The 25749-nt window shown below is 40.1% G+C and overlaps 1 long non-coding RNA gene across 1 annotated transcript in view; it reads left to right on the top strand.

The window, feature by feature from the left end:
- The window catches only part of LOC101927394 (uncharacterized), a 63503-nt gene that overhangs the window by 15010 nt on the left and 22744 nt on the right, over nt 1–25749 (top strand). Inside the window, exon 2 of the long non-coding RNA NR_110131.1 lies at nt 8996–9072. This is a non-coding gene — a long non-coding RNA (uncharacterized LOC101927394). The remainder of the gene's footprint in view (nt 1–8995; nt 9073–25749) is intronic.

The following is a 25749-nucleotide window of genomic DNA, read 5'->3' as shown; positions in this document are numbered from 1 at the left end:
GGAAAGGCCTGAAGGAGTGAGGGGTGAGCCAGGTGATCGCCTGGGGAGTGAGGGGGCAGCATTCCAGGCAGAAGGAACAGCAAATACAACTGTCCTGGGGCAGGAACATGCAGGGAAAGTCAAGGAAGACCCTGGGCAGCATGGGTGGGTGGGGCAGGCAAAGGGCAGAGTGATAGGGAGGGGGTGAGGGTAGGGTGTCCAGATCAGGTAGGGCTGAGTCATTATTGTAATGTTTTCTAGGGTTTCTCCTTGAAGGGATGTGAGCAGCCCAGTGCTTCCACCTCTACAGCTCCCCCTCCTCCCAGATGAATGTGACCTAACCTGTATCTTCTCAGGACCCCATGCAGGCCACGTGCACTTTCTCTCACTTTCTAAAAATCCTCCTCATTTCTAAAGTTTCCTTTGAAAAACTGAGCCTGATGTCATCACTTCCCACACCTCAAGATCCTCCCTCTCAGGCCAAACCCAGTCCCTTCCTTGGGGAATGACTCCAATTTTGAAACCTAAATTTATGTCTCCGTGATCACCTCAAGGATTGAGAATCATAAAAACCTCGTACAGTGTTCTCACTGTTTAATTTTCAGCTCAGGGATTTAATCTGACAAATTACCTTTTATCTCATTTATGGCGACTAAGATTCACCAACTTTCCCTTGAACTAAAGGGTAAGGTAAAATACTACTCTGGGGGGGAATGAGGAGTTAAATTAGTTCCCGGGGTGCAATTATTAACAGCAAATATAATGTAATCATCTAGCAAGTGCCAAGTATAACCCCAGCACTTGGAGAAATTGATCAATAAATGTAGTGTATGTTATCTTCCAGCTTTGCTGGTGTAATTAAAAAAACATTTTAGGGTTCTCTAAGGTTGAAAGAGAGCTCAGAGAATCTTCTCTTAATCATATTCAACAACTAGAATCATAAAACAAAGCACCCAGCTATCATGCCTTGTTAAGAAGCAGTGTCAAAGGGTCTCATTTAATCATTTAGTGCTATTAAGTAGAAATTAGGTTTCCATGGAGGCACTGGCTTTAGACTTGGCAGGATTCTGATCCTCATTTGCTCATCTTTTTCCTCTATAGAAAACAGAATGATAATCATCATACTCTTTTCTAGTTTCCAAAGCTGCACACCTGGGTGATGGCCTCTCAGGTCCAGGTGCTTCTGAGAGGGGATTTATTTTATCTGGCTGTGGAAACATGAGACAAAATGACATGAAACATGAGAAAATGAAATGAATCTCAGATTTATTATTGGCATGGGTTAGGGGTCTGAAATTAGGAGTCTGAAGCTCCAGGTCATTCTGTTGGTTCACCTTACAGCAGGATCAAATGAATCATGTAGCTGAATGCACTTGGAAGAAGCAGCAGCATCACTGACTGTTTTATATTTTTGACCCCCCTCCGCCCCGCTGCCCCGCAACACATAGACACATCCCCATTCTACTCTGAGTGGGAAAAGAATGGGTTTCTTTCCCCTTTGGTCGTTCTCTGCTATGAATCTTGTTTCCAAAGCCAGAGTTTATTGAAGCTGGAGGCAGAACAGACTCCCCTACACCTCTACCCTGGCATCCCAGATCTGAGCCTCAAGCTGTGCTCTCCTCTTAACTGCTATAACTTCCAGAGAATCCTGCTGCTGCTACAGAGAAGGTGATTGCGTTAATTGCCAGGGTTCACCTCAGCCTGCAGCACATGGGAATGCTGCCAAGTTAACAATGGACCACATGCGGCTGTGGCCAACCAAACCTTACTGGATGGTCTGCCTTTTCCTAGCCCTCCCCATGTCTTGGAATGCAAGCGTTTGCTCTTAGGCTCACATGGCCACTCAATTCAAACACTAATTGGATGACCCTGTGGAGATGTTTAGAAGAGAAAAGCAGGGAAGCTAGCTCAAGTTTGACCAGGAACACGTAAACCATTTAACGCTTCCCTTTGCAGTATTATATAAATTTTCATTTACTTGACAAATATTTAATAAGCACCTACTATGTGCCGTTAGTACAATGTGGCATTGTACTAGGTACTGAAGAAAAACATAAATATTTTAAAAATCTTCCTTGTCTGAGATAATTTGTAAAATTTATCTAATATATTTTATATCTAATATCTAATATCTAACATATTTCTAAAAATTCAATGGGCATTTTCAGAAGGAAGCTCTAAGTATGTCAAGTCCAGTTTATGTTGATATAGTTATAAAATATTGGGTCTAGAAGGAGATTCAGTCTCAGGATTCTTGTCCAACTTCTCATTCAACCCTTTTATATTACTTCAAGTGGTCAGTCTTTTTTTTTTTTTGTGCACACATCTATGAATAAGATGCTCCTGTAACAGCTGCTGCATTTTTAGAAATCTAGAATTTCTTGAAAGAATCTCTTTTGCTTGAGCTGAAACTAAGTCCTTCTTACAGCATTCGTTTCTCCTTTCTTGGCCAATATGGAACAATTTTGCTGTAGCTTATAATTTTATATAAGCTGCTTTTATATCTAAAGTCGGACTTTTCATCCATAGTGGTACTCTTAACACTAAGCACCTCTTCTCTCCTTGATTCCTTTAATTCCTGCTCCATCTTTCTAGTCACTTCCTGATGTCTGCTTTTATAGCCATATTCATACTGACTAGTAGGTAGGGAAAGGAAGCTAATGAAATTTAAATAAATCATCTGTCCTCCTTGAGGATTTTCACTATATTCTATTTATTTATACCATGCCAAATATCATCAGATCTGGACACCGTAAGGAAACTCAGAAATAATGTAGCCCAACACAGTAATTTTTCAGGAGGGAAACTGAGGCCCAGAGAGACAGTGTCTTGCCTGAGACCAGATAGATGACAAAGATGACAGTGGTAAACTGAGAACCAAACCCAGGTCCCCTGACTGCCAGCTAAGTGTTCTTTCCATGGTAACACATCATTGCTCCACCTGCCTCTTGGTACTAGGTGCTAGCCACGTACAGAGTTTCTGTCAACCTTAAATTTAGAAACTATGATTACATATAGGGTTTATTTGAGCAAAAAGCTGAGAATAGCCACTCAGGAAACACAGACTCCAAAGGAATAGAGTCAGTGCTCCAAAGCAGATAAGTTAAGGTTTCATTTATATAGGCAGAAGCAGAGTTTATAAGGGTTAAAACATTCTCCATGCAAGGTCAGTACATATATTATAGTGATTTAATTGGTTACAGCTTGCTGTAGCTTAAGGAAGATTGCTGTGACATTCTATAAGAGGGGGTTCATGATCTCCAGGGATCTTATCCTTGGCACTATTTGGTCTTTCCTAATTATTTACAAGAAAAAGCAAAAGTTGCAGCTAACTGCTATGTGACTCAGGCCACATAGCCACATTCCTCTCAGGGCTCACAATAGTTTAAAGTTCCAACACCTTCAGGTTTAAATTATTTAATTTTACATTCCCCTTATAAATTGGACCAAACAGTGTTCCTCACTAATGAGGGTTTATCTTTCTCTGAGAAGCACTTCATAAGGGATGCATTTGGAGCATCAAGGAGGAAGTTGACCCCTTAGATCAGCCCTACCAACCCCAGAGTTCTATAGACAGCAAGATGGCACAGCCAGGTCCCTCCTTCCTCTCTCACTGCCACGTACCAGAGGTTGGCAAACTTCAAAAACAGCCCATAGTCTGTTCTTATAAATAAAGTTTTATTGGAACACAGCCATGCCCATTCACTTACATATTATCTATGCCTGCTTTTTTTATTTGAAATAGATCAAGTAGTTTCCATGGAAACCATATATCCTTCAGAGCAGAACATTTTTACTATCTGGCTCTTTTTATAGAAATAGTTTACTGACCACTGCCATACAGAGGTATGAATTCTAAGAGTGATTCTGATAGCAATCCTCACATTTTTGTTAATATACCATGAGATCTCTTTACTTGATTCTATCAAGATGTTTCTGGGTAATGTTGATTTAATTGTGCACTTTAAATCAACACATGGTGTGAAAAGGTGCCAAAAGTCCAGTTTAGGTACAAAGAATATATATGCTGTGACATCATTTATGTACATTATAGAGAAGCAGTAATCAATACTGTATCTTATTTATAGATACATGTAAACTTAGAAAAAGTACAAAAATATGGACAATAATGATAATCACCAACTTTAGAGCTCTGGTACCTATACATGGGAGGGAGCAGGGCAAGAAAGAGTGGGAAGAAAGACATAGCTCCAATTTGTAACAAAAAATAAAAAAGAGTTTTGAAAAAAATACAATGGAATGCTAATATCGGCTATATTTGGCCTTTGCATACTTGGGAGTCTTGTGTCATTTTCTATATTTGTTGTATGTTTCATATATATTTATATATATATATTTATGCATATCACATATATTGAAACCCAAAGTGAAGACAGGCAGGTTTGAGTAAGTCATTTAGAGTCTCTGCATTTTAGAGAAAACCCTTAAGTAGGAGGATTTCCAAAGTCTTTGGCAAAGAGTTTTGTTCCTCTATGGAACACAGGGTAACAGGGGGAACAGGCATCACATTAATAGACAGCAAGATTCCATTAAGACATTCTGGCTGGGCGTGGTGGCTCACACCTGTAATCACAGTACTTTGGGAGGCCGAGGTGGGTGGATCATTTGAGGTCAGGAGGTCGAGACCAGATTGGACAACATGATGAAACCTTGCCTCTACTAAAAATGCAAACATTAGCCTGGCATGGTGGTGCATGCCTGTAGTCCCAGCTACTTGGGAGGCTGAGGCAGGAGAATCACTTGAACCCGGGAGGCAGAGGTTGCAGTGAGTCAAGATCGTGTCACTGCACTCCAGCCTGGGTGACAGAGCAAGACTCTGTCTCAAAAAAAAAAAAAAAAAAAAGCATTATGTTTGTTTTCTATACTTAATGCTCTGTATTCTAAATCCAGGCACACCTTGGAAATACTGCGAGTTTGGTTCCAACTAATGCAGTAAAGCAAATATTCAATACTTGCATGTGACACAATTTTTTTGGCTTCCTAGTAGATATAAAACTTATACTTACACTATACTGTGGTCTAATAAGTGAGCAATGGCATTATGTCTAAAATCCTTTAAAAAATACTTTATGGCATAAAATTAAAAAAATACTTTATGGCTAAAAAAAATGCTAATGATCACCTGAGTATTCAGTGAGTAATAATGATTTTGCTAGTGGAAGATCTTGCCTCGATGTTGATGGCTGCTGACTGATCAGGGCAGTGGTTGCTAAAAGGTGCGGTGACTGTGGCGCTTTCTTAAAATAAGACAATGAAGTCTGCCACATTGACTGACTCTTTCTTTCACAAAAGATTTCTCATGCAGTGCTATTTGATAACGTTTTACCCACAGTAGAACTACTTTCAAAACTGGAGTCAATGCTCGCAAAACCTGCCACTGCTTTATCAACTAGGTTTATGTACCATTCTAAATCCTTTGTTGTCATTTCAACAATGTTCATAGCATCTTCACGAGGAGTAAATTCTATCTCAAGAAACCACTTTCTTTGCTTATCCACAAGAAGCAACTTTTTATTCATTTGAGTTTAATCATGATATTGCAGCAATTCAGTCACATCTTCATGCTCCCTTTCTAATTCTAGTTCTGTCATTATTTGGAACACCTATCCCCTCCACTGAAGTCTTGAACTCCTCAAAGTCACCCATAAAAGTTGGAATCAACATATTTTAAACTCCTGTTTATGTGGATAGTTTGATCCCCTCCCGTGAATCATGAATGCTCTTAATGGCAACTACAATGTTGAATACATTCCAGGAGGTTTTCAATTTACTTTTTTCTGGATTTATCACAGGAATTACTATCTATGTAGCCTTATGAGATGTATTTCCTAGATAATAACTTCAGAGTCAAAATTACTCTTTGGTCCATGGGCTGCAAAATGGATCAAAGAGTAATTTTGTGTTAGCAGGCATAAAAACATTAATATCCTTGTACATCTCCATCTGAGTTCTTGGGTGACCAGATATATGGTCAATGAGCAGTACCATTTTGCAAGAAATCTCTTTTTCTGAGAAGTAAGTCTCAACAGTGGGTATAAAGTATTTAGCAAGCTATGTTGTAAACAGATGTGCTTTCATCCAGGTTTTGTTGTCCCATTTCTAGAGCACAGGCAGAGTAGATTTTGGATTCTTAGGGTGGTAAATGAATAATGACTTCAACTAAAAATAAGCAGCTGCATTAACCCCTAACACGAGAATCATCAAAGCCAGGTGTTGACTTTTCCTCTCTTGCTATGACAGTCCTAGATGGCATCTTCTAATATAAGGCTGTTTTATCTACACTGAAAATCTGTTATTTCAGGTAGCCACTTTCATCAATTATCTTCACTAGATCTTCTCTGAAAAACTTTCTATGGCTTCCAAGTTAGCACTTGCTGCTTCACCTTGCACTTTTATGTTGTGGAGACAGATTCTTTCCTTAAATCTTGTGAACCAACCTCTGCTAGCTTCCAACTTTTCTTCTACAGCTTCCTCACCTCTCTCAGCCTTCATAGAATTGAAATTGAAGAGAGTTAGGGCCTTGCTCTGGATGAGATTTTGGCTTAAGGGAATGTTGTGGCTGGTTTGATCTTCTATCCAGACCACTCAAACTTTCTCTGTATCAGCAATGTGTGCTTTGCTTTTTTATAATTTGTGTGCTCACTGGAGTAGCAGTTTTAATTTCCTAGAAGAACTTTTCCTTTTATTCACCATTTGGCTGTTTGGTGCAGAAGGTTTAACTTTATGCCTGCCTCAGCTTTTGACATGTCTTCCTTGATAAGTTTAATCATTTCTAGCTTTTGATTTAAAATGAGAGATTTGAGACTCTGCCTTTCACTTGAACACTTAGAAGCCATCATAGGGTTATTAACTGGCTTAATTTCACTATTGTTCATTGTGTCTCAGAGAATAGGGAAACCCAAGGAGATGGAGAGAGAAAGGAGAATGGATAGTTGTTGGCAGAGTCAGAACAGACATAATATTTATTGATTAAATTTGCCATCTTATATGGACATGGTTCATCGTTTCCAAAAACAATTATAACAGTAACATCAAAGAACACTGATCACAGATAACCATAATAGATATAATAATAAGAAAAAGGTTGAAATAATGTGACAATTACCAAAACGACAATTACACAGAGACATGAAGTAAGCACATGTTGTTTGAAAAATAGTGCCAATAGACTTGCTCAATACAAGGTTACCACAAACCTTCCATTTGTAAAAAGTGCAGTATCTGAGAAGATCAGTAAAGTGACATGCAATAAAATGAGGTATGCCTGTACACGCTCAATTACATACTCCTTTACATGATTCATTACAGCATTTGAAACTCCATTACTGTTTCTCAACCCAACTACAGGTATTACTGCAAACGGTTTTTGATCGTATCCTTTTGTCTCCTTCTATACACCTGTAAAGCAATGAACACATCTCTTCTGCACAGTAAGCTCATATTTTATGAATTATTCTAGGGCCTTCATTTTTCTTGGAGATAATTCTAATTAAGTCTGCCTCTTTCCATAAAATGATTCAATAGCATTTCATATAAATCAAAAACGAATATTTCTTCATAGTGCAGCACCAGGACACTTTTCTATCAGCCTTAAAAATTTTCAGGAATGAAAACCCCGAAGCACATTGCTTTCCGTCACCTAACCCCTGGCATTGCATTGGTTACATAGCTGGAGGCAGTCAAAGTTTAATGTACTTAATTACAATACACCTTTTTCTATATTGCAAGATTTCCTTGTTATAAAAAGATACTCAAAACTCATCTTAATCATTTTTCTATTTCCCAAGAGAGTTCAAAAAGTTTAATAGCTTCTAAGCAAGTGGATCTGAGAAAGGTTGTTTCGAAACAATTACACCAGTTCTTCTTCATTGTGATAGGTGTGACTTTTTTGGATCTAAATTGAGGTGGAAGTATGATTGAAGAGAAGTTAGAAAATTCACAGTTAAACCAAATAGAAAGGCCCAAAGCAATTCCCTGTTCTTTGTAAAATGAAGCTCCAAGGGTATTAATTTAAACAACAAAATATCTCCCCCAAATTAATTGAGAATAAGGCTGGATCTAGCCCAGGGGTTGTTGCCTAGCAACAAAGGTATGTGTTAGGAAAAGGATGGGGGTAGTTCAGACACTGGGTATCACTTCAGGCATTGAATTTCCTTGAAAGATGTGAAGAAAATTTTGTGCTCTTTTGAAATTGTCTATTTAAAGATGCCTATGATCCATACCACATGCTAGGATACTCTTCCTCTTTTTAAGTCAGATTCAACATTAAAATTCAGCTCAGTTGCCTCCTCTTCCATGAAGCTTTCCCTGGCTATCCCCAAGGACCCTCAGACTCCGAACCATGTCTGCTTCCTCTGTGCTCCCTTGCCCTCTGCATTTCACTACCTTTGCACTTCTTTAAATGTTTGGTAGAATTCAGCAGTGAAGCCATTGGGTCCCGGGCTTTTCTTTACTGAGAGACCTTTTTATTATGGCTTCAATCTCATTACCTGTTATTGGTCTGGTCAGGTTTTAGATTTATTCATAGCTCAACCTTGGTAGGCTGTATGTGTCTAGGAATTTGTCCACTTCTTGTTGGCACTTATCATGGTGTCCATCACTTATCATGAAATCATTAGCTTGTTCATCTCTCTGTTAATGTGCCCAACCAGATTATAGTTAGGGACTGTCCTTTGCTTTTGTTTGTATCTCACATGCATAATATCATGCTTTGTACTCTGTAGATGCCCTGACATTGTTTGTTGAGTGGATGGGTGGATGGATGATGAAGAAGTAAATGAACTAATGAATGAATTAGAAAATCAATCAGGCTTCAATAAGAATATGATCTATAATCATGGCTGTATTGAGGACTCTAATATGTGTAAATGTAATGGAATAACTCCAATACGTACCGCTGTGAGGGATTTTATGATAAGCCTGTCTCAAGTCATGTTCGGAAAAGTTTATTTGAATTAAGTTGCCTTTTCCCTATTTTCTGTTCTCTGCCCTACAGGCTGCCTGAGCAATTGTGTCTGGTTCGTGAAGTGACTTCCCATTTTCATCCAATTGGCCCTGATCTCACATCCCAAGGTAGGCATGCCTGCCTGCTTCTCCCTGCTTATTGGGCTTTGCCTGTGGCTTATTGCTCTGTTTATTATAACTCAACTGCTGCCTCTCCCCTTTCATTTTGATATGAACTATTCTTCATCTCAGGTTGGCACAAGGAAGTTTTCTTGCTGGTACTCTTGGATCCCTGTAGCTGTTAACATCTTTATTTATGACTGTAATAACCTTAGAACTCCCCTGCATAATCCTCAAAAAGGACATTATACATGGGGCTGTTTTCTAAGGTAGAGAGCTGTAAAGGGAGCTGATTTCTCATATCCAAGTCTTCATAGCCAAGATTTCTAAGGCATTTTGCCTTAATAAGGGTTCTGGCAGGAAGCAGATGACACACAAGCTGTGTAGTTTCAAGAGCACTTTAGAAAGAGATCCTTTACCATGTTATGGTCAGAATATGGGAACCCCAAAAGAGTTTGGGTACTACCTTGGGGCTAGAAATAGGCTGGGTCTGAATGGGGAAGGAAAAGGAATAGTTACTAAAACCTAAAGAAAAATAAATGGAGAGAAAGAATGAGAGCTGTGAAGAGGGATGCCAGGGTGGAAGAAGCATGTGCTTTGTTAAAACCTGTGGAGACTCTAGGGAATGCATGGCCTAAACATGCTTTCCTCCACCCCTCTGGTCTCCTGCTAATGTGCTCCAATGGCCAACCCCACTGGAAGTGGCCCCACTGGCCAGCCTCTTGGGGAACTGAGAAGGGTGAAAAGCAGTGGAAATAGGATCTGGAAGGGGAAGTGGAAGATACACTGTACAGCCCCCAGAATAAATGCAAAGATAATGGTGCCTGTGCATGGGAGGCATGCCTCCAATGACTTCACTCCAAAATAATTTTGGGGAAAGTATGTTGATATTTCCTTATGCATTTTTAATTGCTTCTGAAAATTTTTTGTTATCTTGTTCCTAACTGGCATTTGATCTTTACTAATTTGCCCTCTTAAAGACTATAACCCTCTACAAAAACAAATAAACACAAACACCCTTTAGCTTGCTGTTACCTCAAGGATAATGTATGACTTGAGTGTGTTGTTGAGCTTTCTGCCTTAGCTAGTTTGCCATCAAATCAAGGTTCTCTATCAGTACAGCTAAGAAATTTAAAACCAGAATAAGCAAAAAACTTTAAGGCTCTAGAGATTTACTTCATAACTTGCTTTAATTAAAGTCAATTCCTATATTAAAAAGAGAGGTATTTCTGATTTAATATTTTTCCCTTAAGGAGGGCATCTATAACTTTTTTTTGTAATTGAAAGTATTAGATGGGTTTCAAATCATTTGCTGTATCATTATTTCTTTGAAATCATTCTTTCCTGTGCATACCTAGTTTAGAATCTCTCTGTATGTGAGCCTGATGATTTGTAAAAGAAATTAATGATCATGAGGTTACTTTGAAATTCAAGGAGGTAAATTGATGTAAAGGAGTTAGAGTGCTGCCTCGGATGGAGCAAGTACTCAATATGTAGTCCCCGTTGTTTGTGGACCTTCTTGTATCATGTTCTTTTAAGAACATGGAGATCAGTAGACTATTCTTATAGCAGTATTCAAAAAGATTAGACCAACTAGTAGGATGATTTCTTAGGGGACAGATATGAGGTTTTACTCCAGAAGCTTCAGTCTTTGGGAGTCTTTCCCTTGGGAGCTAAATGATGGATATTTGGAATACTACAAAGCAGAATAACAAATATTTGCTTTTCCTTTCTTTTTTTGTGATTGTCCTGAGCCAGAAGAAGTAACAAATTATATGGTCATTTTGGCATTCTCTGGCTATTATTTTGTGTATCTTGCCTGATTCAGTTATGCCTTATAAATTTTAAAATGTGATTGAAGTCTCCATACTGTCATATTCCTCAGTCCAAGAAACATAAACATGAAAAATCTAGTGGAAGCCTATATTAGCTAGGATTCAGTTCAGCCATATATATTTTTTAAAAACATCAAATAGCAATGGGTTAAATAAGACAAAAAATTGTATTTTCTCTCATATACAAGATGTCTAGTTGTGGGCATTCTAGGGATGGTATGGTAGCACCACAATTATCAAGGACCCAGGAGTATTCTCTGTTTCTGCTCCTCTACCCTTAGTATGACCCTCATCCTAGAGGTCACCTTATGGTCATGAGATGCCTATTGTAGCTTCAGCCATCATGTTCAATTGAAAGGAGTAAGGGGCAAACAGTGTGGTTTCACACTGAGTGAGCCCCCTTTAAAGTGCTTTTTAAGAAGCCCCACACTTCTGCAACTTTTGCCTACTATCCCCAGGGAAGACAGGAAATATAGGTTTTATCTAGAGTTTGTCAAAAAGCCATTCACAATGTGGAGGTATATCCACACCACTCCGTAAGCTGACCATAGTTGTGGGCAAACTGCACCACGTGAGCTAAGAAATCAGAACAATCTGTGTTTGAATCCTGGTTCCCTCTGACCTTTACTATCTGGATGTCCTTGAGCAAGTCAGGTTAACTTCTCTGAGGCTTAATTTTATCAGGTCAAATGAAGATAGTAAGAGAGCCTACTTAGGGCAGTGGTAAGGACTGAAAGAGCATATATATACAAGTTGTAACCTGATTAATAATTTTCAAAATGTGTACTTGTAATTTTATTTCTTTTAATTATGGTCAAACATTGTGCCAGCCTCAACAAATGATATTTGAAAGCTGGCAACACAGCAAGCTTTCAAAGTATCTACAATTAATAAATCAGAAACTTGGAGAGGCTAAGTAACTTGACTAAGCTTATGCAGAACTGAAATACACTCCCCTCCCTCAATAAACAACAAAAAGAAAGCCCAGGCCTTTCTGACTTGAACAACTGCCCTTTTTCTTTCCAAAGTACACTGTCTCTTTCAAACTCAGGTTTCAATTGGCTACATAATATATACAGGTTTATGTAATAACAAACTTGGTTCTAATCGCATTTTACTTCACTGGTTGAATTCACTCAGCAACTATGGAGAACTTCCAGAGATGGGGAATTAGGGCTTCAAGCCAAGACTTTGGGCTGGCTATGTCCTGGAAAAAGAAGCAGACCCTGCTATAGCAAAAAAAAAAAAAAGTTTTTCTGCTCAAGGCACAAAGCCTCTTTGGGTCCTGATAATATACATACCCTTTGACTTAACTAACCTGGTTGGGTGGCCAAATCATATTATTTTCTGTATTCTGATGTCAATTCAATTTGAAAAATGTAAATGAGGCTTGCTTATCAAAACAAGTTTAGGAAAAAAATCGAAAATAAATAAATGGGGAATCTGCTGTGCTAGTCATAAATAGAGCCAGACTAATATTTTGCATTTTTTAAGGAAATATTCAGTGCCTATAAGAGTTGCATAGATGGTAAAGGGTGCCATGATAGAAAAGTCTGGGATTCTGTTAGTGCAATAAAAGGTATGACAAAATTGACAAGTGGGAGTTGAGTAAGAAAAGCAATTTCTAAGCTAAGACCTGAAGAATAAATATGAATTTATCAAAGGAATAGCGGGTGGAAGAATATTCCTAGCAGAAGGGTTAGTGTATGTCTCTGACTCTTGAGTTTTGACTTCTGGACACTTATTCCCCTATTCTTCTTACCCTTACTTCTGACTTTTGCCTTGAGTCTGCACAGGCGGGCTTTTAGCCTTCTGGTAGCCCACCATCAAGCACTGAGGCCACCACCTTAAACGACTTTCCACTGGAATTATGTTCATTGGAAGCCGCTGTTAACAAACCATTCTACAGGACTGTCCTAAAACAGAAATGGCAGCTAGGCTTCATTTCCTGTGCCAATGTTAATAGCTTCTTTGTGGCAGCCTGGACAAATCAAAAGGATACTGAGGACCAATAGAAAGTGCCTCACAATTAATTAGTGAGGTTTCCCTAGTTTAGCAACAGAGAGTTCTGACACACAGGTACTGGCATTCTTGGGTCCAACGCTCTCTTCCCCCCTTTCTATTATGCTTGAATGAAATTAGGAAAAATGTCAAAGAAGAGGCCGGGTGCAGGCCAGAAAGCACTGATGCTAATAATACCTGGCATCTCTTGCCTGTACATATCCAACTTCCGCATTACAAATTTGGCTCCTGCTAATAAAAAGTTGTCTGTAAGTTCCCTGGGCCATCTCAATGGTCACTGCATTTACAAGCACTTTCAGACACCCAGCTGCTGCTCCTAATATGCTTTCTGACAATAAAACACCTGCCTCTTATGGGAATGGCTGGGGGAAGTTGAGAATACTGTCAGTAGTCACAGCCTTGAGGTTGCTATGAACCTGAATAGACTGGATGCTATGATGCCTTCCCCGTAAACACTGCCTGCTAACCCACTGAGTAACAAGCTGAAACCAACCCAATAGTCTCATAGACAGTTGTTTTTGGATAAACATAGAAATTGACTCTTCTGGTCTTAAAACTTGAAATTTCATTTGTTTTATTTGAGTTCCTTCCTCAGGAAATGACTTTCAGGCCTCTTAAAAAAGGTATCAAAGAACTGAAACTCACCAGATCACCACATCTAGACAATGAGATGTGGGACCACTCATTCATCATGATTGCTTCCTTGCCCCATCCCTGGTTCCTGTTTTCTTACACATTGTTACATTTCTTCCCTACTATATAAACCCCTAGTTTTAGTCAATCAGGGAGACAGGTTTGAGACTGAGCTCCTATCTACCCAATTGCAGAGCACGATTAAAGCCTTCTTCCTTGGCAGGACACGTCGTCTCAGTCATTGGCTTTCTGTGCAGCAAACAGCAGGACCTAGACTGAACCCCTGGTGTTTTGGTTACAAAGCTACAGACAACAGTCTCCTGTTGTAGAAAAAAATGTATTCAAAATATTTCTCTGCTTAAAAATTTTTACTGTTGCCTGCTCACTGACCATTCTAGGCCCTCCATCTTGGACTCTCCATTCCAGCAGTAAAATCAACTGAAATGTGCTTTCTCCCTCATTATTTGACTGTCTTTACCTTTCTCCATGAGTCCTCTTTACCTAGAGCCTTTTAAACTCCCTTTGTCCATTTAGTAATTCCTGTGCAGACTCCAGACCTAGCTTGAGCATGCTCATCTCTGCAACCTTTGTCTGCCCATCCCATGCTTTTTATAGATTTATAATGTACTTCTATTATTGCACACTTTGCTATATTTGTTGTCAATAAATCATATGCCCTAGAAGACAGTGAGTTTTTTGAGAGTTTAGAATTTTCTTCTACAGTATATGATTTATTTGACCACTTTCATCTTTTAACAGGCATTTAAGCCAGGTCTTTATCATCTCAGACATTGAATTTAACTGAATAATTGAGAAGAAGAAACACTATATATTCTGTTTTTGTACACTTTTGACTGGGCCCTGTGCATGTCTGTGGGAGTGAGGAGATTTTGGGTTAATCAAAGATAGAGATGCCTATTTCATATGTTTATCATTGAATTTTCTTATTTCGTAGATTATAGTCAAGTAAAGAAAGACCAGGATTAAAAAGTAAACATTTTGAATTACCTCCCTGTGATTTGGAGGAACATGAAGACACTTATTTTTCCTTTGAATTTTTACCAAAGAGTTTTCATTTTTATTTATCACAACAGGGTTCCAGACAACATCATGCATACTCATGTTAATTGAATTATTCTGATTGCTCATGAGTTAATATTGTCTTATTTCATCTTTCCAGCTCATTAACTAATAACCAAAGTCTAAGTAATTAAGGTATTTAGAAAATGTCATTAAGTGCCATTGAATTTTCTCATCCCAAGTTTCTTGAACAGTTGGGAAGAAAACACTTAACCCTGGACTTTTGTTACCTTCCTGTCCCCCTGGATTTTTCCCAATGCACTGGGCTAGTTTTCTACACTGTGGACTCTTGAGGCTGTTTCTCCTGTTAGCTATTGTGCTGTTTGGAAACGTGTTGTCAGAGTCAAAAGAGAGAAAGGAGGAAGATCGTGGGATCTCACTTGTCTAAACATGTGTATTTGTTTGCTTGTCTTATCAACATTTGATAAAGACAAATATAAGTATATCCCAAGTGCCCCAGACCCCATCAGCCTCTGCTGGAGAATAAGGTTAAAATCTATTTTTTTAAGTATCAAAATTAAGACACGAGTCCCCAACACATTTGGCTGCAAAGAACCCTGTCTTGAGATTTTATTCCTTAGGTCTCTCTGGTCATCCCCAGCGAATGCTTACATATCCTACAAATTCATCCCACTGGTTTTCCTGCCCACTGTCAGGCTATGGATCCCTGTCTCTTCTGCTATTGGTTGCATCATACCATCTCTCTGGCCACTCAGGCTATGGAGGCTCCTTGTGTAACGATACCTGGGCTTGGCTCTGGGCACAGCCTCTTGTCTTTAGTTGACTGTACACACAGCTAGTAGAGGGCAAAGAAAGCTCTGAAATTTTGAAAGACAACTTCAGCACAGAAATAGGAAAGGGATACCAGATGCAGCAGATCTCAGGGTCCATAGGCCAAACCCTCCAAAGGCAGAGCTGAGTTGGTGCCATAGGGAAGTATGTCCAGCGAAGCCAAAACTATTTACCATCTAGCCCTTTACAGAAAAAGTGTGCATATTATTGCCCTATCTGGTTCCAGGCCTGGGCAAATGTCCTGATTCTTGGATTTGCTAAGTGGACTCACTGCATTCTTCAATATACAGTATTTTATGTATATTTGTCCATTTTCACACTCTTATAAAGATACTACCCAAGACTGGGTAATTTATAAAGAAAAGAGGTTTAATTAACTCACAGTTCCTCAAGGCTATGGAGGCCCCAGGAAACTTACAATTATGGCAGAAGGCAAAGGAGAAGCAAGCACCTTCTTCACAAGGCAGCAAGGAGAGAGAGAGAGAGAGTGCAAAGCAGGAAGTGCCACTTTTAAACCATCAGATTTCATGAGAACACACTCATTATCATGAGAACAGCATGGGGGAAACTGCCGCCATGATCCAATCACCTCCCACCAGGTCCCTTCATCAACACGTGCAGATTACAGTTGCAGATGAGATTTGGGTAGGGATACAGAGCCAAACCCCATCATCATGTTCTAGTCAGAACTCTCTCAGTAACATAATTGAAATCCAAATCAAACAATCTAGAGTGAAATAGTAGAATTTCAGCTAGTAATTGGAAGGTTAAAGGCTAACTAGCATTATGCACAGATGGATCTCAGGAGGCAAGTTATGTCATCAAAACTAATTTTTCCACCTTCATCTCTCAACCTTGCTTTTGTCTCAGACACTCAGGAGTCTCAAGCTTAGTAGGTGCCCAGCTATCCCAACTGAGTGGAATAAGTCCAGCCAAAGTCCCAGCATTGAGTGTAAAGGGACCATTATGTATTGTTTCACATTCTCGAATATTCTGGCCAGGAGGTGAAATTTGATAACTGGCTTGACCCAGATAAGGAGTGCTTTCCTGTGGCTGGAACTGAAGTGAGCCCAACCAAAATTATATGAGATGATTATGAGGGGTAGAGCTAGTTTCCCAGGATTAATTTGTTTCCCTCCAGATTAAGGGTGAATAAATGTTAGTTGGTAGTTAAGATGTATCCACTACCCTAGCCAGTGGGTTCTATATGATGGCAGAGAATTAAGAGAGGGAGATAATCCATTGGCCTGGTCCTTCCAGATTTCTGCCTGGTAGTTTCTGTTCTGATCCAATGACTGGCCCAGTGAGGAAGGAACATTTGGTGGCTTCTGAGTGCCTACATAGTCTCTCAATTCTGAATCCTTGTACAGACATTTCAAGCTCAGAGCACTGTGCAATGTGAGCTCGCCCCAAGAGTTTCTTCAATAAAACTGTACCAATATCTATGCTATAATTTCTAATTTTCTAATAATAATGCCTTATAGCAATAGATCATACCATGACTAATACCTAGCAAGGAGATATGGTTGGCACTATCCACTCTCTCTCTTCTGCCAAACAAACCAACCCCAGGTTATTAATGTAATAGCTTTGGTTGAGAAAATGTAATTATTTATCATGGATAGACAAATACGCTCATTTTAAAAGTTTATCTTCTTTTTCGTCATTAAGTCATTTAGTTAATGCTTTCATTCATAAATACTTTCAGTGGAAACAAAGCCACAATTTCCTGTCCCCTTGCTCTTTATTCACTTGAAATGATGATGTCCCAGGATACTGCAGCCCTTCCAATTCACAAATTGATCTACTCAGAAGTAAACCTGAGCTACCTCATCTCTCTCCACCTACTCCAGCATCTTTTTCACCGGACAGCCAGGGTGTAGGGACTTTCCAGAGCTCTTCATGATTCTGGAAACCATTGATTCAGACAGTTTTCCTGCTTGACACTTCTGAATCCTTCTCAGCCCCACCCTAATCACAGAGGTAGCTGCCACCTTCATTTTTTTTTTTTTTTTGGAGACGGAGTCTTCCTCTGTCGCCCAGGCTGGAGTACAGTAGTGTGATCTCGACTCACTGCAACCTCCACCTCCCGGGTTCAAGCAATTCTCCTGCCTCAGCCTCCCGAGTAGCTAGGACTACAGGCACACACCGCCATGCCCAGCTAATTTTTTGTTTTAGTAGAGATGAGGTTTCACCGTGTTGCCCAGGCTGGTCTCGAACTCCTGAGCTCAGGCAATCCACCTGCCTCGGCCTCCCAAAGTGCTAGGATTACAGGAGTGAGCCACCACGCCCAGCCTCTCTCTGTTTTCATTGTACTATTGGTATGACTTTCCAGGCTGTTTGGCAATAGCTGATTTATTCCTCTGCCTCTTTTGCTGAATCGTGCTTCCTGGAGGCAAGGACTCTGTCTATTCCTCATTGTCTCTTCAGCACTTTGTAGAGTGCCTGGAACAAGATAGATATTTTATAAATCTTAGCTAAATGAGATGCTCTCAAACCATCCTCTCAAATATGCTATTATCCAGGCATTATTATAACCATTTCCCTCTTACCAATGTGGAAATTAAGGCTCACAGATATTAAGTGCTACATTCAGAGTCTGACTTGAACCCAGAGCTTCTGAACTCAAGGCCATTTTTCTTTTCAGAACATCTGGCTGTCTCCTTCATGGAAAAGACTGATAAAATTTATAAAATTTTGTTAGGCTGAATTATATGAAATGGGAGGTTAAAAATGTTCAAAAATGGGTAAGTGCATATGCTTCATTGTGGCCTTTATACAGGATGCGACTTTTTATTAAAAAAGACTTACACCCCATACTTAAAAAAATGGACTGAAAGTCTCAATGGACTTAGTTGGTCAGAACAAATGTACCTGGAAGTCTGGTGAGCAGAAACTCAGACCCATGAACCCTTGCAGTACAGCACAGACTTTAATGAAGTGCTTCATAGGATGAGTTTAGTTTAATGGCTGTGTATGGATATTAACACTCTGGATTGAGGCTTTTTTTCTATCAACTCATGGAATCATGAGTTGGAAGTCAACTCCATCAACCCATGGAGTCATGGAAGCCTGAAGTCTCCAACTTCTCGTGGAGTCAGGTCATGGAATGAATAGTTGAAAGTCCTGAATTTAGGTTCCAGAGAAGTCACCACCTTACTGTGTGAACTCCTGAAAGCCTGTCATCTCTGTGAACTTCGCTTTCTTTATCTGCAAAATGGGAGAACACTTCCTGTTTAACCAGATTACTCTGAGGTTTAAGAAAAGACATTATCCATTAAAGCCCTCACAAAATAAAAAGTAGTATACAGTCATATGATGATTTCGTAGTGGCTTTGCCCTACCTAGAAGAAAAAGAGCCAGCAGGCTCAATAAACAGAGTATTAAAATATAAATCCTTGAATGAACAACCTAGATGTCCTTAATGATAATACATGAGCATCCTCTTTTTAATATAAGGCCCCCTCTGGCATGAATAGATTGCTACAGCCACTTCATTTTCCATCTTTCCAGCAGATTAACTGCTTGTCTGAACTCCTGAAATAGGAATGATGAGCCTCTGAGGAGATGAAGGGACTTCCTGATTAACTCATCTGTTTCATCTCTCATAATGAGAAGTTACCCCTGTGCCCAGAGAGCTGTGCTTCTCTGAAGGGCTGCATTTTATACAGTGGCAGGCAGGCAATGAGGTTTACAATTGAGGAATTTATTACCTAGGGGCTGGGGAAAGAAATGACAGTGGGAGTTAAAACATTTTATTTAAAAAAACTGCACACATTCATGATGCTATCTCCATTCTTGTATATTTTGGGCACTCCTCAAGATACTTGAGAGTATGTCTCAGAATCTACAAAGAATTTAATTTAAATAAATTTACAAGATAGAAAACAATCAACCCCGTTAAAAATTGGGCAAAGACATGAACAGACACTTCTCGAAAGAAGACATTTATGTGGCCCACAAGCATATGAAAAAAAGTTCAACATCACTGATCATTAGAGAAATGCAAATCAAAACCACAATGAGATACCATCTCATGCCAGTTAAAATGGTGATTATTAAAAAGTCAAGAAACAACAGATGCTGTTGAGGCTGTGGAGAAATAGGAACACTTTTACACTGTTATTGGGAATGTAAATTAGTTCAACCATTGTGGATGACCGTGTGGCGATTCCTCAAAGACGTAGAACCAGAAATACCATTTGACCCAGCAATCCCATTACTGGGTATATACCCAGAGGAATATAAATCATTCTATTATAAAGATATATACATGCATATGTTCACTGAAGCACTATTCACAATAGCAAAGACATGGAATCAACCCAAATGCCCATCAACGATAGACTGGATAAAGAAAATGTGGTGCATATATACCATGGGATACTATTCAGCCATAAAAAGGAATGAGATCATGTCTTTTGCGGGGACATGGATAGAGCTGGAAGCCATTATCCTCAGCAAACTAACACAGGAAAAGAAAAGCGAACATCATGTGTTCTCACTTATAGGTGGCAGCTGAACAGTGAGAACACATGGACACAGGGTGAGAAACAACACACACCAGCGTCTGTCAGGGGGCGGGAGAGGGAGAGCATCAGGATAAATAACTAATGCATGTGAGGCTTAATACCTAGGTTATGGGTTGATAGGTGCAGCAAACAATCCTGGCACATGATTACCTACATAAGAAACCTGCACGTCTTGCACAAGTATCTCAGAACTTAAAATAAATAAAATAATAAAATCAAATAACTTCCAAGTTAGGCACAGTAAGAGATTAACAACAATAACTAATAATAAAATACAGCAATTATAACAACCTATTGTAATAAAAGTTATGTAAATGTGGTATTCCCCTTCTCTTTCTCTCTCAAAGTATCTTATTATAGAGTAATCATCTAGTTTCCAACCACGGTTGACTGTGGGTTACTGACACTGTAGAAAGCCCAACTCTCAGAAAGATAAGCTTTGATTGAGAGGGGACTGCTGTAGTTATTCCCTTCCCCAGGTATTGACTGAGGGTTCTTTGTTGAAAATGCTCAACTTTGTCGTACTTTGTTGAGTTAGTAAGTGTCATGAGTGGAGAAAATTAAGTGAAACTATGAAAATCTAAAGTAATATAACATTTTAAAAGGGCATGCTGTCACCTTTGATTTAAAAGAAAAATTCTGGAAGATATAAGTGGGGGCAAGAAGAGGAGGTATGACCAAGACAGTGAAATGAACCCGTTTTTTTAGGAAAAGACCAAAACAACAACAACAACAACCAAAAAAAAAAAAAAAAAAAAAAAAGAGAGAGACAAAATAAGATGCAGCAAGTTGTTTAAGTCATAAACCCAGAGTCACTTTTGACTCAGTTTTCTTTTTTCCCATGGTCACATTCAATTCATTAGCACATTCTCTTAATTCCAACTCCAAAATATATGCTCAACTCCTTCACTTCTCCAAGTATTTAATGCCACTGCTATCAAAGGCAGTATCATCTCTCTCCTGAGCCACATCTTGCCTCCTAACAGATCCTTCACCTTCTGCTCTTGCCAATCTACTTTCCACAGATTCTGAATCATCTTAAAACATAATTAAAATCAGTCACTCCCTTACTCACAACTCTCCAATGCTGTGCTTTGCATTTAGAATAAAATCCATACTTCCTAATGATGGCCTGTGAGGCATGGCCTATAGTGGACATTAGTCACTCAATCTCATCTTTCACTGTCTCACCTCTTCCCTTGCACAATCTGCTCCAACATTTTCTTTAACTGTTTTTTTTTTTTGTTTGTTTGTTTGTTTTGAGACAGAGTTTCACTCTCATTGCCCAGGCTGCAGTGCGATGGTGTGATTCTAGCTCACTGCAACCTCTGCTTCCCAGATTGAAGCTATTCTCCAGACTCAGCCTCCCAAGTAGCTGGGATTACAGGTGTGTGCCACCATGCCTGGCTAATTTTTATATTTTTGGTAGAAACAGGGTTTTCACCATGTTGGCCAGGCTGGTCTAGAAATCCTGACCTCAGGTGATCCGCCCACCTTGGCCTCCCAAAGTGCTGGGATTACAGGCCTGAGCCACCGCACCCAGCCTTCTTCAACTTTTTAAAAATTTCCTCAAGCATCTCAGCCTCTTTCTTGTCTCCAGACATTTGCCCACGCTATTAACTCTGCCTGGGATGTTTTTGTTAACACTCTTACATGGTCAGCAACTCCTTTTGCTCTTATAGGCAATTCTATCAAAAGCAGGTTCCCCAAATGCATCCAGTACTCCATCTTGACTCCTTGCTTTATGCACAGTATTTATCAAAATTTGAAATTATTGATATTTTGTTTCCTTCACTACATTGTAAACTCCTCGTAGACTGGGATCTCATATGTCTTATTCACTATTTTTTTTTGTTCCCCTGCCTCTGCAACAGTAATGAGCATATAGAAATTGCACAATAAATGTTCATTTAATTAATGAATTGAAACATCTATTCTGCCACATGATTCTTTAGACAGATAGATTGATTTTTAGAAACTTTCACTTTGTGTTGTGTAATATAATTATGCCATAATTAATCTTCAAGAAATTTTTGTAAAAACTTATTGGTTTTAAATGAGATGGGATATAAATATAGGCAGTGGTATGATAGAACCATCTCATAGTCACTTGCAGAAGCAGATTATAAGTATCTTGTTCTAATTCTGAAACCGCATATTTATATTTTGAGATCTGTAATGGTGGGAATATTTACACCATGGAATTGTCAAAGGTAAAAAACAGACATTCCACCCCCGACCTCCCCTGGACACTGTTCGCCAACCCCCTAGCCCAGACAGCGAGTTGTTAAACATTTCCCAACATGTCATTGACAAATAAGTTTCTTAGTTTGTGATTTTCAGAAAGAGTCCCTTACGTGAGATTTCATGAGAAAGTTATTTACTAGAAAGTAATCCAGGGGTGAGGGGCCAATAGAGAAAGTGAGGAAGTGGGATCAGTAAGGAAAGATCAAGCAGGAGTGCGGTATTGATATGGGAGTGGGGCAGGGAAGCGATGGGTAGAGAAGGGTGAGGTCCTTGGCAAGGGCTCCACCCTCAAGCCTGAAGACCCGCAGCCCTAAGTGAGGACAGGCATATCTGTTTAGGCACCCAAAAAGTTGCTTTTGGCCTGCCACAACCCTCATCCTGTGCCCATAAAAACCCGAGACCTTAGCGGGCACAGACACAAGCGGCTGGACATAGAGAGGAGCAGAGGAACAGAGTGACAGACAGTGTTGGGGCGGCACCACAGAGAAGGAGGGAAGAAGAAGGACACCTGGGCACCAAGGGGAATTCAGTCGGGTCAGAGAAGAGTCTGGCTACTGGGCGGCCCAACTCCAAGGGAAGACCACCTTCCCACTCCGTCCCCCGCTTCTGGCTCCCTGTCCATCTTGCTGAGAGCCATCTTCACCACTCAATAAAACCTTATATTCATCCTTCCAGCCCACGTGTAATTTGGTTCTTCCAGTACACTGGGCAAGAACTGAGGCTGTCACACTGGCTCCCTGTCCTTGTGATAAGACAGAGGGTCTATTGAGCTGATTAACGCAAGCCATCTGCAGACAGCTTAGCTGAAAGAGCGCACTGTGACACACACCCACTTGGGCTTCCGGAGTCCTAGACGCTGCCCTGGGGCTGGAGCACAAAAGCACTCCCCTTGGCCTCTGCACCCGCTCCCCCTAGGGGTTTGAGCAGTGGGGCAAGGAAGGAGGGAGCCATACCCTTGTCACACACCCTGCAAGGGAAATAAGGGAACTCTCCATTTCAATATCAAGCAAAGTTCCATGGAGTTTTACTTTGGCTCAATGCCACGGAGAAACTCTGAAAACACAGTTATCCAATCAGGGACTAGGGATCTGGTTTGTACTCTCCCCTGTCAGTCATAGGACTGTCCCATGGGAACACATATTCTCAAACACTTCCTGTTTCTGTGTGCAATGATAAAGCAAGTTCCAGCAGTGGGGGGGAAGGCCTATGACAAAGAGACAGATGCTAGCTGTTGAAGGTGAGAGCACACAAATATGGAAAAAGAATCCTGGACCTATAAGCCCCTCACCGACGGCCCTGCTGCTACAGTGCCTCCAAACCTTTAACAAGCATGCACTCACCTGGGAATACACATGTCAGCAGGTCTGGAGCTGTGCCTAAGATTCTGCATGTCTAACAAGCTCCCAGGTGATGCCTTTGATGCTGCCTGTGAATCACATTTTGAGGAGCAAAGTACAGCAACATACCTTCAATTATTTTGCACGGGAAGACCCAGCTTTATTTGGCTTGTTCAAGTTAGTTTTCAGGCAAACATGGTTTACTGAAAAGTTTGAACTAGAACCACTTTCTTTGAGGGACACTCTGTTTCACCATGGGTTTTCCCCAAATATTTTATCAGTGAGGTCAGATATTTAGTCAGAGCACTTTACATTTGCAAGCGAGGTTTTAGAGCCTTCAGTTCTTCTCAGAAGGTAAACTAAGATCAGAAAAATTCTTAACATTATTTAAGCATGCATAGTGCCAAATAAGTCTGTAGTCTAGATACTCAATGATTAATTTTCTCTATCATGCTTTGAATTCAAGTTCATTTGTCACTTCAACAACCATTTAGTGATACTTTGTTCATTGCAAGCCACTATAGACGGTTTTGTTGGGGATACGAAAGTAAATTATATTAAAAAAATAGACATGGCTCTTGCCCTCCATGATATTACAACTGAAACAGGAGAGGTTCCCTTATCCCCCTCACAGGGCATGTGACAGGGGTGTGGCTCCTTTCTTCAGTGCCCCACTGCTCAAATCCCCATGGGGAGCAGGCAGATGGGCAGGTCATGGGGAGCATTTCTGGGCTCCAACCCCACGGCGGTGTCTAGGGCTGAGTGTTTACAGCTCCCGAAGCCCCAGTGGGTGTGTGTTATAGTGCGCTCTTTCAGCTTTGCCGTCTGCAGGCAGCTCGTGTTCATCAGTTCATTTAGACCTTCTGCCTTATTACAAAGACAGAAGGCTTTCTGTATCCTAGGGTTCTTGCCTTAGTGTTTCAGAAAAATCAGATCACCTGTGGGCTTGGAGACTGAGTGCAAGGTTTTATTGAGTGGTGGAAGTAGCTTTCAGTGAGATGGATGTGGAGCCAGAAGGGGGATGGAGTGGGAAGGTGGTCTTTCCCTGGTGTCAGGCTGCCCAGTGGCCAGACTCTCCTCCAGCTGCCTCTGGTCAAATTCCCTTAGGCACCGGTGTCATTCCACCATCAATGGCCCGCCAGTGTCTGCTTGTGTCTGTCAGTGTGATCTTCTGCTCCTCTTAACATCCAGCTACTTGCGTCTGTGCCCACTATGGTCCTAGGTTATTATGGGTGCAGGATGGGGGGACTTGATGGGCCAAAAGGCAACATTTTGGGCACAAAAAAAGAAATGCCTGTCCTCATTTAGGTCCATGGGCACAGACCTGAGGGTGGAGCCCTTGCCAGGGACCCTGCCATTCTCTACCCAGCACTTCCCTGTCCCCATCCTGTATCACAACCTAGAGTGTTTGCTTATAGAAATGGCTGGAGAACTGGTTTCAAATTTATCAAACATCTGTGATGTTTCACTTTGTATGTGGTCGATAGGTGACATAGCTTGAATTACCTACAAGTTGCATTTGTCTTGTAAAACCAACTTAAAAATGTGAAGAGGCTGTGTATGACACAAACTTAACAACAAAAAATAAGGTAGAAAATTATTTTTAAGCTTAGTCATTGGAGATGTGAAGGCATAAATGATTTTTTCATGTTAACTATACTCTTTATTTTTATATTCTTCAATGAATGCTAATAAGGCCTACCAGTACAGACTGCTTTGGGCATAAATAAATATTATGCACTTGCAGTAATTAATTTATGGCACACTATAGTCAGTAGGGTAAAGTGAATTTGTGAAATTCTCAGAGCACTTGACAGTTTTTTATTGAAGCAGAAATAAAATGCAGTCAGTAAATAGTACAGTGCCGAAGAAAGTGTTTAGTTATCACCACAAGAGTTATATGAAGTAATTTAGGGTACTTTGCTTTCCTGCTCAACCCAGAGGTTATGCATTCATATTATTACAATGTGAGTGCAGTATTTCCAACCTGAGCAAATAAGGAATTAAGTAAAACAAGCCTCATGAAAGTATTATTTGAGAATGCCTTTTCTCTAACAGTATGCAAATGCACTTTTAAATATGTGAAGTGTTGCCTGGGTCTGTATGGTGCCCCTAGTTCAAATATTTTCATTCAAATAATATTGAGGCAGCAACAATTCCTAAAACATCATTTTATAGACATGAGAATGGTTTGGCAGGGAGATATTG

This window comes from Homo sapiens, chromosome 3, assembly GCF_000001405.40.
Source record: "Homo sapiens chromosome 3, GRCh38.p14 Primary Assembly".
In the NCBI taxonomy this organism is placed as follows: domain Eukaryota; kingdom Metazoa; phylum Chordata; class Mammalia; order Primates; family Hominidae; genus Homo; species Homo sapiens.
This window is presented reverse-complemented; position numbering and strand designations above follow the sequence as displayed.